This window comes from Homo sapiens, chromosome 7 (genome assembly GCF_000001405.40).
Source record: "Homo sapiens chromosome 7, GRCh38.p14 Primary Assembly".
NCBI classification, from domain to species: Eukaryota; Metazoa; Chordata; class Mammalia; order Primates; family Hominidae; genus Homo; species Homo sapiens.
The window spans coordinates 144,600,829-144,615,513 of record NC_000007.14 but is presented as its reverse complement, the minus strand read 5'-3'; the positions used below and the strand labels follow the sequence as shown (position 1 = coordinate 144,615,513).

At 37.2% G+C, this 14,685-nt stretch overlaps 1 protein-coding gene across 45 annotated transcripts in view; it reads left to right on the top strand.

Annotated features, from left to right (window-relative positions):
- Positions 1–14,685, top strand: part of TPK1 (thiamin pyrophosphokinase 1) — a 384,497-nt gene that overhangs the window by 220,924 nt on the left and 148,888 nt on the right. For 2 of the 45 annotated variants that reach the window (NR_146936.2, NM_001350895.1), the window contains one exon: positions 8,464–8,585. The exons of 42 other annotated variants lie outside the window; for them this stretch is intronic. Coding sequence is in view for 2 of the 3 variants with exons in the window: in NM_001350895.1 (NP_001337824.1) it covers positions 8,583–8,585 (3 nt within the window). In the remaining variant the exon portion in view is untranslated. Of the gene's footprint in view, positions 1–8,463; positions 8,586–14,685 lie in introns of those variants that run through there. One more of the 45 variants, XM_011516046.2, reaches the window with a different exon arrangement.

Genomic DNA, 14,685 nt, shown 5'->3' with positions numbered 1-14,685 from the left:
TTGTGCATGCATCGTGTAGTTCTCGTGCCATGGTTTTCAGCTCCATCAGGTCATTTAAGGTCTTCTCTACGCTGTTTATTCTAGTTAGCCATTCGTCCCATCTTTTTTCAAGGTTTTTAGCTTCTTTGCGATGGGTTCGAACATCCTCCTTTAGCTCAGAGAAGTTTATTATTACCGATCTTCTAAAGCCTTCTTCTCTTAACTCGTCAAAGTCATTCTCCATCCAGCTTTGTTCTGTTGCTGGCGAGGAGCTGCATTCCTTTGGAGGAGAAGAGGCGCTCTGATTTTTAGAATTTTCAGCTTTTCTGTTCTGGTTCCTCTCCATCTTTGTGGTTTTATCTACCTTTGGTCTTTGATGATGGTGACGTACAGATGGGGTTTTGATGTGGCTGTCCTTTCTGTTTGTTAGTTTTCCTTCTAACAGTCCGTACCCTCAGCTGCAGGTCTGTTGGAGTTTGCTGGAGGCCCACTCCAGACCCTGTTTGCCTAGGTACCACCAGCAAAGGCTGCAGAGCCACAAATATTACAGAACGGCAAATGTTGCTGCCTGATCATTCTTCTGGAAGCTTCGTCTCAGGGGCACTGAGCCATATGAGGTGTCAGTCGACCCCTACCGGGAGGTGCCTCCTAGTTAGGCGACTGGGGGGTCAGGAACCCACTTGAGGAGGCAGTCTGTCTGTTCTCAGATCTCAAACTCCATCCTGGGAGAACCACTACTCTCTTCAAAGCTGTCAGACAGGAATGTTTAAGTCTGGAGAAGTTTCTGCTGCCTTTTGTTCAGCTATGCCCTGCCCCCAGAGGTGGAGTTTACACAGGCAGGCAGGCCTCCTTGAGCTGTGGTGGGCTCCACCCAGTTGGAGCTTCCGGGCCGCTTTGTTTACCTACTCAAGCCTCAGCAATGGCGGGTGCCCTCCCCGGACCCCCACCCAGCCTCGCTGCCACCTTCCAGTTCAATCTCAGACTGCTGTGGGCATAGGACCCTCTGAGCCAGGCATGGTATGTAATCTCCTGGTGTGCCGTTTGCTAAGACCATTGGAAAAGCGCAGTATTAGGGTGGGAGTGACTGATTTTCCAGGTGCCGTCTATCACGGCTTCCCTTGGCTAGGAAATGTAATTCCCCGACCTCTTGCACTTCCCGGGTGAGGTGATGCATCGCCCTGCTTTGGCTCATAGTCCGTGGACTGCACCCATTGTCCTGCACCCACTGTCCAACAAGCCCCAGTGAGATGAACCCAGTACCTCCGTTGGAAATGCAGAAATCACCCGTCTTCTGCATCGCTCAGGCTGGGAGCTGTAGACTGGAGCTGTTCCTATTCGGCCATCTTGGTACCTCCCCGAAAGATAAGAGTTATTTTATAACAAGACAAGGATGCCCTCTCTCAGCGCTCCTATTCAACATAGTATTGGAAGTTGTAGGCAGGCCTGTCGGGCAAGAGAAAGAAATAAAGGCTATTCAACTAGGAAGAGAGGAAGTCCAACTATCTTTGTTTGCAGATGACCTGATCCTATATCTAGAAAACCCCATTGTCTCAGCCTAAAAGCTTCTTAAGCTGATAAGCAGCTTCGGCAAAGTCTCAGGATACAAAATCAATGTGCAAAAATCAGTAGCATTCCTATACACCAACAACAGGCAAGCTGAGAGCAAACCATGAATGAACTCCCCACTCATAATTGCCACAAAAAGAATAAAATACCTAGGAATACAGCTAATGAGGAAAGTGAAGGACTTCTTCAAGGAGAACTACAAACCACGGCTCTAAGAAATCAGAGATGACCCAAACAAATGGAAAAACATTCCATGCTCATGGACAGGAAGAATCAATATCATGAAAATGGCTATACTGCCCAAAGTAATTAATAGATTCAATGCTGTTCCCATTGAATAATTGAATAATAAAACTACCAACACATTCTTCACAGAAGTAGAAAAAAACTAATTTAAAATTAATATGGAACCAAAAAAACAGCCCAAATAACCAAGGCAATCCTAAGCAAAAACAACAGAGCTTGGAGGTATCACGCTACCCGACTTCAAACTATACCACAGGGCTGCAGTACAAGAAAAGACAGATAGACCAATGGAGCAGAACAGAGAACCCAGAAATAAGACCACACACCTATAACCATCTGATTTTTGACAAACCTGACAAAAACAAGCAATGGGGGAAAGATTCCCTGTTTAGTAAATGGTGCTGGGAGAACTGGCTAGTCATATACAGAAAACAGAAACTGGACCACTTCCTTACACCATATACAAAAGTCAACTCGAGATAGATGAAAGACTTAAATGTAACACCCAAAACTCTCAAAACTCTAGAAGAAAACCTAGGCAATGCCATTCAGGAAATAGGCACGGGCAAAGATTTCATGATGAAGACACCAAAAGCAATTGGAACAAAAGCAAAAATTGACAAATGGTATGTAATTAAACTAAAGAGCTTCTGCACAGCAATAGAAACTATAAACAGTAAACAGACAACCTACAGAATGGGAGAAAATTTTTGCAATCTGTGCATCTGATAAAGGTCTAATATTCAGCATCTATAAGGAATTTAAACAGATTTACATGAGAAAAACAACCCCATTAAAAAGTGGGCAGAGTGATTATATTAAATCTGAGGAAGTGGAGTATCTGTGAGCTTCCACCTGACTTTACATTTAACTTGGAAGGTCAACACTGTATTTTATTTGATGTTATAGCAAGAGAAAAGCAACATTAGAAGGGAAAATAATACAAGATTTCCCTCCACCCATACTCCTGTCTCCATATGAGATCATGAAGCCTTTTTAAAATTTCTCCTGATAATACACATAAACTGTATCAAATCTTTATATGCCTCTTCTCCATCTAATAAATCATATCAAATTATTATATATTTTTTATTTCTACTTATTAAATTATAAATATGAATTTATAATCAAAGTATATTTTATAATAGGCCTCTTACTATAAAATGTTAATTGTAATGTAAATAAAATGCAAAATAGTATTTAATATATTAAAGAACTATATGTTAGAAATTCATAGAATTTGAATTAGGTCTGTCCTGATCCTAAAGGAGTTTACTATCTAGAACATGAGATTACTTTTTTTAAATTCCCCTAAATTACCTTTTTAGTTCATGTATCCATCTAATTGAAACCCAATCACCCTTAACATTTACTCTTCCACAAAAGGATTCTCTCATACCTGGGACTTTTTAAGGCTTTGCTTTCATGTTGCCACATTGTTTATCTGTAACTGAGTCATGAATACTACATTATCAGGATGCCATCTGATATGTCTGAGTCTTCAAAGGACACATATATTTTCGGATGCTGTGATACACACTTGAGATCTAAACCCTGGGATTTGGTGGAAAACATTAAAAGCTGTCTCTCTAAACATCTAAACATATAAGATGCATGTTCTTTACAATAAAGCAGAAATAAATTAAGATTATGAGGCCCTAAGAATAACAGGATAGGTCTCTTTAGGATATTTACTAGTATTATATGGCAACAGAATCAGTTACTTCAATTTTAAACATAGACTATATATTAGACAAAATCTGAGCAGAAAAGTTTCCATTAATTTCAATCTGAATGCTTTAGAGATTTAAACCAATACTAGTTTTATTTGCTAAAACCTCAGTACATTTTAGCCAGCTTATATTATGCCATGTAATTTCTTAAGCAGTTTTTAAATCAAATAATGAAGGATGGTGAGTAGGTTATATGAATGAGGGCAAATGCTTATATTATATATATATGTGTGTGTGTATATATATATATACATACAGCTACACACACACATAAATGACTGAATTAAATAATACTGAAGGCCATAGGTTTATTACATATTATTCTTTTTTATTTTCTTAATAGGCTGGGCAAGTACTGAATTGTGATTTACATATTTTAAGACATTTCTGTATAATTTGAGTATGTCCAAATTGAAGTTATTAACTCTTGACCATTAGGACTCTGTTAAGAACAGTCTTTCTATTTAATGTCTACATGGCATTTCTCAGATAGATACATTATCTTTATACAGCAGCAAATTCTATGAGCTTAGAATATTTTGTTTTATCTTCTAATTATCAGTATTGGATTTAGGTGTACATTACTTTTCTGCAATGGACTGGTGGATTTGTTTTATTTTCATACTAAATATGAACATTCTCCTCCATTGAAAATACAATTTAAGGCTAACTGTCTGATTGGACTAATTACTCAGCAGCATAAAAAGATGTGACTCATTGGGTTGCAGGAAAAACCATGATAGTACCCCAAGAGATATCTTTCCAGGTACTCTGGTGTCTCAGTACAGCCTGCTTTCATGAACTGGTATCTTTGGCATGATCTAAAGGAAAATATATGTGTGTGTATGTGTAAAAATGTATTCTGAAAAGGAAAAAATCTTTATAGTGGAGAATCCTGGCAGATACCACATTAATCAAGTGAAAAACATTAATAACATCGTTATATCATACTAGTAATGCCCTCCTACATGGATATAAGTTGAGAAGGGCACTTGTGGAGTTCTTCTCTAAAATCCACAATTCCACTTTAACCTTTAAAGTAGTCAAAGAACTCCAAGTTGAAGAATATTCCATCAAATGCCTGACCAACATTTTTAAGGCCAACAGAGAAAGACTGAGAAATTGTTATGGCCAGAGGAGATGAAGAAGACATGACAACTAACTGCAGTATGGTAACCTGATTTCTGTTGTGTAGTGGAAAAATAGGACATTAGGGAAAGCTGTTGAAATCTGAATAAGCTTGAAAGTTTAGTTAATAGTAGTGACCAATGTCAGTCTTAGTTGTATCCTATGTACTGTGTTTAGACAAGATGTTAACACTGCTGAAAACTGGATGAAGAGTATACTCCTTGTACTATTTTTGGAACTTTTTAGTAAATCTAAAATTATTCCAAAACACAACATTTCATTGAGAAAATATATTCACTGTTTCAAATATGCTATTACCCTAGAACAGGTGTAATCTTTTAGTGAATGGCTCACAGTAATATAGAATAAAGGCAAGTGCTTCTTAGTACTTAGGCAAAAAAACAAAAAACAAAAAACAAAAAAAAAACAATGCCTTTTGTGGACTCTCCCACCTTTAAAATATTTCCTCAGGAAATTTTAAATTGTGAGTTTCTGATGCATATTTAGACAACTGTTTTACATGAAAATTATGCCTGGTAGAAAATCTTAGGTAGACATTTGATGGTCTTTAAACTATGGAGACAGCCCAGATGCTCTCAACTTTCCCACTTTCCCAAGGGATAAATTTCAAAATATGGTAAGACTCTATCAAAGGTAGAACTGCCACTAGATATGTTTTTATCAGGATTAACTCTAGAAGTACTAACCTATGTATTCCTGCCTCTTCTTCTTGCCTGTCAGTCTCTGTCCTGGTCTCCTTCAGCCTCTCATTTTCTCTTGGGCATTGCCTGTGCTGACATTCTGACATACCTGCTTTTCTCCTCTTTATCTTGTTTCTGTGACCTTCACTTACCACTTCTGTGCCATTCATTAATTTGTACCTTTAATCCTAAACTCCAAATTTGTACCTAATTCGTACCTTTAATCCTAAACTCCAAAGCTGTTTTTCTCCTTGCTAACTGGACGACCAGAGGAACTTCATTTTATTGTCTAAAACAAAATTCATTATTAGTCTCACAAGAATCTCGTTTTCTCTTTTTATATTTCCTTTCTCATTCAATGGCACTACCATCCAACTGCCTGGCGGAAACCTAAGAGTAAGTTTATGCCTTACTCTACCATCCCTTGACAGTTGGTCACAGTTCCCTGAAATTCTTCAGATCTCTGTCCTATGGCAGTCTTGCTGCCACTATATGAGTTCAAACATTTATCATTTCTCACTTGGGTTACTATATTAGCCTCTGCTCGCCCCCTTCAGTACATTATCTTACCAAAATTCATATAATATATCTTAAATCTATATCTGCTTTAAATTTTTTATTGTCTCTCATTGTTATGTATTCAAGAAATATTTATTTAATGAATAAATGCATTTCTAATAACATCAGTTTTCTCTATTCCAAAGGACATTATGCTAAAACTTAGCTGGCGTATAGAACTTTCTTCAGGACTCTTGTTGCTAGCATTCTTGATGCCATGTTAATTCTCCTGTGACATGTGTCCAGGTGCTTTAGAATCTTGCTTGTCTCTACCAATTGTGACAATGAATATGCTTATTATTGAAAGTAATAATACCACCTTAAACTTTAATAAAATGTTAATCTTCAAAGCACTGTAATTAGAAGTCAGGTATTCAGGTGCTCAGGATAGGCCTGGCACTCTTTTTAGCTGCATGACAGTAGAAAGATATTTAAGTTTTTTTTTGTTGTTGCTGTTTTTTTTTTTCTTTTTCTTTCTTTCTTTCTTTTTTTTTTTTTTTTTTTTTTGAGAACTCTGTCACCCAGACTAGAGTGCAGTGCTGTGATCTCAGCTCACTGCAACCTCCACCTCCTGGGTTCAAGCAATCCTCCTGCCTCAGCCTCCCGAGTAGCTGGTATTAGAGGCGCACACCACCATGCCCAGCTAGTGTTTGTAGTTTTAGTAGAGATGAGGTTTCACCTTGTTGGCCAGCCTGGTCTTGAACTCCTGACCTCAGGTGATCCACCCACCTTGGCCTCCCAAAGTGCTGGGATTACAGGTGTGAGCCACCGCGCCCGGCCAGTATTTAAGTTCTTTAAGCCTGGATTTTCTCATCTGTAAAGTAAAAATACTAACCCACCTATAACAGAGCATTACATGGTAAAGCACGTATTTCAGTGCCCGTCCCATAGGAAGTCCTTATTTTAAAAATTAGCGATAGTGGTGGTAATAATTGTAATACACTCTTGTGCAACTAAATGTAATAGATTTTGTGGAATAATATCACTTAAGAATTAGAGTATGTCTTAGAAATCTCTTAAATTAGTTACAGTTTTTTACCCAGGTTCATGGGACTCTCAATAGAGTATTGTGGGTTTTTTTTTTTTTTTTTGGACATACTCTAATTTTACAAGAACTCTCAATATCAGAAACTTGAATTAAACTGAGAACTTATTACATGTTAATGTATTTCCCAGGTGAGTTCTGGAACTTCCCCTATTCCCAGAGAACCTATATATATTAAATGTATCTCTATATTTAATAGTGGAATCCAACAGAGAGTGAGATGTACAACCCAGGTAACTATTTTTGTACCTTGCCTTTGTGTGGAGAAAAAAGGAAGGATCTGCTCTACCCTTGCTAATCCTAGTATGGACATTATAGGCCTTATGCTCATGAAAGGTTATATTACCCTAAAATTAGGCAAAAGTTCATATTAGAGTTCCACAGGCAAACTTCCTCCTCTTAGATATACTATAGAGGCTATTAGGTATCTTCTTCCAGTCACCTTAACAAACTTTTACTTAATATCTGTTCTGTTTAAGTCAGTATGCTGTGATTTCGTGACTAAGTCCATAATCTCAAACAGCCTTCGGTCTAATAGAGGAGACAGATTTACAGGTGACCATAGAATGATTTAGACTACTGTAATAAATACTGTAACTTGCCTCTTCAGAATAGATTCAACTTCTTTTGGATAGATTACTCTGCAGTTATTTATATATAATTCCTTTTTGAGAAAATGGAATAATATAGTTTTTTTCTAATGAAATTGCAGCTCATGTTGAAGCCTTCTGTGAACATCATATTTAAGGCAGCACCCCTCAGCTCTACCTCTTGAATCCCTTGGTTAAGCCATCCTTATATCTTCCCCTGCTCCATTTTCTTGTCACCATCTGACATACTACATATTTAGGATGTTTGTTTCTATTACATATTCATTCAATATATTATAAACTTCACATGGACAGGGAATTCTGCATGTTTGTACTCTGCTGTGTCCTCAGCATTTAAAGCAATACCTGGCACATAGCGGGCACTTCATAAATATTTATTAAATGAATCAGTAGTTAAACAAATACAGAAGAATCTTGTTGTAACAAACTCTTATCAAATGTTAGCAAACATTAAGTATCTGCTTTAACTTAACAGGGCTTATTCTATTGCCACAGAACTTACCCCTTGAGAAATTTTTTATTTTGGCAGTACATGGAAATATCCATTATTATATCTACTATTACATGATTATATATATAATTATGTTGTAAATGGTTATATATCCAGTATTATATGATTGTGTATGATTATTTGATTATAAATACCTTCAGTATTTTTACCTACAACAGAGGATCTTCAATAGGATGTATGTTGTGTGTAAGTAAAAATTGTACAGTCCATATATCTTCCTCTCATTTCCTTAATTGGTATTTTATAACTTTTTGGAACTGCTTCCTCCAAGTTCTAAGTTATTTGTAAAAGTCAAGAGCTAAAACATGAGAATACATAAAGCTTGTCTCATATGCCATTGCCATTGTGAACTTGATAATAATAAATCTTGCTGTCTTTCTTGAAGAAGAAACAGTGAAAGGAATACTGTTCAATTCCAACATCAGCTGTGTAACCGAGGCATCGTAATACTTTTATGACAAGTTTCACTACCTTTTTGCCTGTGCCAGTGTACCTCAAAGGGATATGGTAAGCTTAAATTGATAATTTTCATAAGATTCTAGAAAGTAACATGACACATATATTTATTTATATATATATTCAATCATTCAGTTACACATAAATATGTCTACATACACCAATCCTTGCTTTTTAGTATATAACAACATTGTTCTGTTTGTTGAGTGCCAAAGTAGCTACTTAATATGTTCAGATTTTGGAACAAACGCAGTGCAAGCTAAGTATCAGACAAAGAGGCAAAGAGAAGGAACAGATTTCTGGGCATCAGCCTGTGTTAGCAGGCTATTTCCTAGATCATTTTGGAGAAGCCTTCAAAAGAGGAATTCACATCTCTATTTCTGCTTCTTAGAGATCAGCAATCTTTTTTATAGTGCTGTGCAACAAGAGAAAATAGATAAACCCAGTGCTTTGAAGTGACTTGGGAGATGTTGCTACGGATATAAAAAGCTTACTACCTTAGAGGCTGTGGCAACCTAATCCATCCCTGCCGGAGGAGAAGCATGCTTTTTATAGGCCCCAAGACAAGGGTTAAGTTTATCTGCTTACCAGGAATCTCAGCTTGATGACTCACTTGCCAGATAAAATTTCTTATTAATGCAGAGAATTCCAGATTTGGTTGGTGTGGGGCTCCTCTGCAAAAGACACGCTGACCTTACATGAAAAGGAGTATTTTATTTTGAATTACCGCATTGTGAGAATGCAGAAATTACAGATGGAGAAACTATGTATTGAGGACTTTTGTAAGAAAAATTCACATATAATAGAACATCCTGAAATTACTTAGTAGATTATAAAATTTGTCCTCATTCTGTATATTCCTTAGCCAGAAATATTACATGTGGTAGTCCCTATATCTATAATTATGATTGTCCACAATGATAATACTGTCTATATTTTTAAGAAATGTTTTGGGGCTGGGCACAGGGGCTAATGCCAATAACTTCAGCACTTTGGGAGGCTGAGGCAGAGGATTGCTTGAGCCCAGAAGTTTGAGACCATCCTGAGCAACATAGTGAGACCTCGTCTATAAAAACAAACAAGCAAAAATTAGCAGGGTGTAGTCGTGCATGCCTTTAGTCTCAGTTACTTGGGAGGCCAAGGGGAGAGGATAGCTTGAGACTTGGAGGTCGAGGCTGCAGTTTAGCCGTTCTCGCACCACTGCACTCCAGCCTGGGCAACAGAGTGAGACCCTGTCTCAAAAACAAACAAACAAAAATAAAAGTTTGGCTTATAGTTTAAGTCATGACTGAAAAACTGTAATGATGTTACTGGTCATTACAGGTCTACATATGTCAGATCGATATATTTTTAGTGGTGATTAAATAGGTAATGAAGAAAAGAGATGCATGTAATTTTTTGCTTTGTGTTAGGTGATGAGCCTAGGTATCTCAGAAAGTTCCATGTAAGTTAAAGAAGAAGATGGAATCCTATAGTATTCACTTTCTATCCATCTCTTCTGTTAGTAGCTGGAAGTAGAAGATGTTTCTGTTGTGTCCATGACCCTCTGCTTTCCCATTTGTACTTAGCACTCCATGGTTAACGTGCCGTTTCAAAACAGAAAATGGCATACGAAAATCCAGATGCATGGAGTAGAAATAAGATGATTCTAGCTTCTTTCCTGAATCTGCTGTGTACCTTCCCCTGTGAACATATATGTCGATGTATATAATTCTCAATATGAACAACCGGATCAGGGTATCTTGAAACATATAGGAAATAGGAATATCTAAATCAAGTTATATTGATTGCAGTTTAATTCTGTTTCCTCATCTATTTCTACTAGAGAATTTAGATGCGTATCAGATTGACCCTAAAGATTCTGATTTTTTTGTAAAGCATTCATATAAATAAAGGGAATTATTTTAGAGAGGAAATTATTATTTGAACAAATATTTTATCCCAGATTACAGATTTACTTTGATGCTCATGGATATGGAATACGTTTAAGTAAAATAGCAAATAGCATTGCTTATCATTTTAAGGTCAACCTTGGGGTTGCTTCAACTTGTGAAGCAAACTTACTGCATTGTGAAGCAAACTTAACTGCATTGCAAGAAATACACTTTAATTAATGTCACTACAGTAATATGTTTAACATTCTCATTTGGCATTATGAAATGGTCCAGTGCATATCTAGAAACCAGAATGTTAATGGCAAAGTACAAAATTTGCAATCAAAATGCTCTGTGTTCTCCCAGAAGGTGGAAAGGGGATAATTAATGTAAACTGTGTATGTTACACCAGATTGCTAGATCTAAGGATTGCACTACAGCAAGTCTGATGGCCACCTGTTATAACTGGGCAATAAAAAGTGGAGAGGGTTTTAAACCACTAAACTTTGGGGGAAATAATACACCAAAAATAGTACAAATAGCCAAATCTAATTTATGCAGACATGGAAGCCAGGTGTTTCATGTATCACTTTCAATAAGACTGTGCGACTAAGACTTATTTCATGGCTGAATTCAAGCAAGAAATATTCTTAGATTAAAACGAATCATGATAATGAAAGAGAGGATAGTTGCTATTAAGAAATGATCACAAGTACAGATATACTAATCTCCTGGGACCAGAGCATGTCTTTATCACAGTCAATCAGTTCCAAAGTGGCTTGGAAAATTGTCTTTTGTCAACTTGATCATTGGTGGGTGTGACTGAAGAAAGAGGATACAGATTCTGAGCTATCATAACCCATTTTCCATGGAAAGGGAAGGAGTGACTGGTTCGTGTTCTTTCAGGTATTCAACTTTAGCGGGGCATTATGTATGTTAGAGAATTTTTAGCCAGAGTAAACAATACTTGGTACTTTTTGAGTAAGACTTCAACAATAAATTTTGGAATGTTTTCAATTGTGTACCAAGCAACATTTATAAAATAAAATTGTAATATCCTTTCAAAAGACTGTCTTCAAATAGCTAATTGTTTCTGAATATAAGTCACACTTTTATTTTTCATTTTACACTAAACACCTAGTGTGTTAAAGATGCTACACTAGGTATTATGACCATTCTAAACCACAAACAATGGATCTTTCCATTCCTCATAACCCCCGTAATTCAAAAGGAATGCCTTTGAATTCACTAAAATATCTTCATATCCTGAGAATATGAGAGGTTCGGACACCATAATTACCTCTAGTAGGTTTTATAATATCTATGCTGTTTATACAGACACTAATTTTATGTATTGTTATTTACTCATAATTCCTGCTCTTCTCCTCAAAGAATTTAATTTTCAGCAAAGATAAGTTGAATAAAATTATGTTAAAAAAGAAACTTCCCACAACGGTTTTTTTATTCCATTCACCTCTCGTTTATCACTCACTTCTGATATAGGGAAATGTAAATACCTGCTTATTTGCCCTTTCTGTCCCATGGTGTATTTATATGGGGAAGAAAAATAACACATTTCTACATTTTCTAGATATAAGGTTATTGTTTTTGTTTATATGCAAAAAATGTCCCATCTATAGGGATCTCACTGATCTGGCTTGAAAACCTATAGTCCAGTTAATCAAGGAAATATCAATATTCAAGACAGCTTTGTGAGGAAAGCACTATTATTACAACCACGATTATTACAAAATCATAAGGCAACCAGGCTTGAAATGTTTAATTAAAAGATTCAAAATCCTTGCCTAGGGTGAATCAGAAAAGGTTTTCATTGTTCAGGGAGTGAACTCTCTGTCATTGTCCTATACATTGTCATGACCAGAGTACCTGAAATTAAAGTGCTTTCAGAGATTCTTTGAAGCAATCTGAGGGTAAACAGAACACACCTATGATAAAAGCACTGCATCCATTGTAGCTAGGGAGTGCTCTAAAGGAGGAGAAATGTCACAGCAGTCACAGATTTAGGTTGTTTGGGGTCAACATATGAAGAATCTTTAATTTCTAGATAAGAAATTTGAACCTTGATCTATATAGATAATGGTAAGCTATTAAAAAATTTTGAACAGAAAATCATAAGGCAATTTAGAAAAATAATGTAATGGTTGTATGCAAGCTGCATTGAAGGATGGAAAATCTAATGACAGTAATGAACCAATTACAGTGTTCTTTGAAGAACAATACTTTAGTCATTTTCTCCATCAAGAATTTGAGAAAGGAATAGAGACCTCAGAAATTAGCCTTAAAGTATATACTTGGTGCTGATTGATCTTTTCTGACAAAATTGAAAGCTCAAAACTATAACTATTCAGCTAAACAAACATCTATTTTGCATGTGCCAGGCACTCTGCTAAGTATTATAGATTGAGAAATGCAAACTGAATGAGACCCAGTTTCTGACTCTAAGACTGTCCTGTCTTTGGGGGTGGATGCACTTGTAATCAGATTATCTGGATACACTGTCAGTAGTGCTACAGTAGAAGTCTGATAGGGTGGGTGAGAAGCCCATTGAAGCAAACGTTTTCCAGCCTAGAGTGTTCAAAGACTCCTTCCTAGTGGAGGTGGTCAGTCTGCTGAGTCTTGAAGGTATAGTAAGGGCTAACCAGAATAAGGGGAGTGTTTATTTTGAGTATTCAAAGTTAAAGGTAAACCCCTTAATTCTGGAATGTCAAAGAATAGGCAGTCCTGAGAGAATGTAATAATCACACATACACCCTGGGTTCAGGCAATATTTACATTTGCTTCCTTTAACAAGCTAGCAGAGAACTTCACTGGGATTGGTCATTCTCTCCTGGACTCTTCTCCTGCTGGTTCCTATCTTAGTGTGTCAGGGACCTCTGCCAGCAAGACTTTCTTCTTCCACTTATGCAAGGAAGTTGGAGTCCCTTGGCTGAGCTCTCCAGAGAGGTACAGGGGCATCAGTGCTAGAGAGTTAATGAGAGTATAGACTGCCTGGGATTTTATGCTAAAACTTTTACCGGGGGAATTATGATTTATAGCAGACGCATATCTTAGCACAGATCTTCATCACAGCTCCCGTAGTTTTTCAAATGCAAAGAAGCTTGTGTACATTGCTGACTCTTCATGTGTGGTTCCTCCTCCTTTTTTAAAAACACCTTTTTTAAAAAAATAACATGTTGAAAAAAAGATTTTTTATAATCATGTGTTATAGACTGAGTGTTCGTGTCTCCCAAAATTCATATGTTGAAATCCTACCCCCAGTGTGATTGTATTTAGGAGGTTGGGCCTTTGGAAGGTAATTCGTTCAGGAGGGTGGAGACTTCATGAATGGGATTAGCCCTTATAAAAAAAAGAGCTTGTTTCTCTCTCTCTACTCTCTGCCGTGACCATGTGAGGATGCAATGAATAGATGGCCATCTGCAAACCAGGTAGAGGGTCCTCACCAGAACTGCATCTGCTGACACCTTGCTCTTGGGCTTCCCAGCCTCCAGACCTGTGAAAAATAAATGTTGTTTAGCTACTCAGTCTAATTTGTTAAAGCTGCCAGAGCTAAGACAACACATTTATGACATTTCTTATTAACACTATGTTAAGAGTTTAGAAAAGTAGGATGAAAACACTCTATCCAATCAAGTTCACTTTTTTAGGTGGTGGAGGTAGGCATCTTTTGGAAATACTTACAGTAATTAAATGCTTTACAAGGAAAGGAGCGGACAGGTGATAGTTTAAGCACTAAAGTTGGAAATCTTGTGAGGTTTTCTGAGATTTTTTTTTTTTTTTGAAATGGAGTTTTGCTCGTTGCCCAGGCTGGAGTGCAATGGCACGACCTTGGATCACTGCAACCTCCTCCTCCCGGGTTCAAGCGATTCTCCTGCCTCAGCCTCCCAAGTAGCTGGGACTACAGATGTGCACCACCATGCGATAACAGGCTCATGCCACCATCTCCGGCTGATTTTTGTGTTTTTAGTAGAGACGAGGTTTCATCATATTGGTCAGGCTGGTCTCAAACTCCTGACTTCAGGTGATCTACCTGCCTCGGCCTCCCAGGAGTGCTGGAATTATAGGCGTGAGCCACCACGCCCAGCCGTGTTCTGAGAATTAAAGTATGGTTGTCCCTTGGTATCTATGGGGGATTTGTTCCAGGACCTACTGTGCATACCAAAATCTGTGGATGCTCATGTCCCTGATACAAAATGGCATAGTATTTGCATATAACCTATGTACATCATTCTGTATACTTTAAGTCATCTCTAGATTAT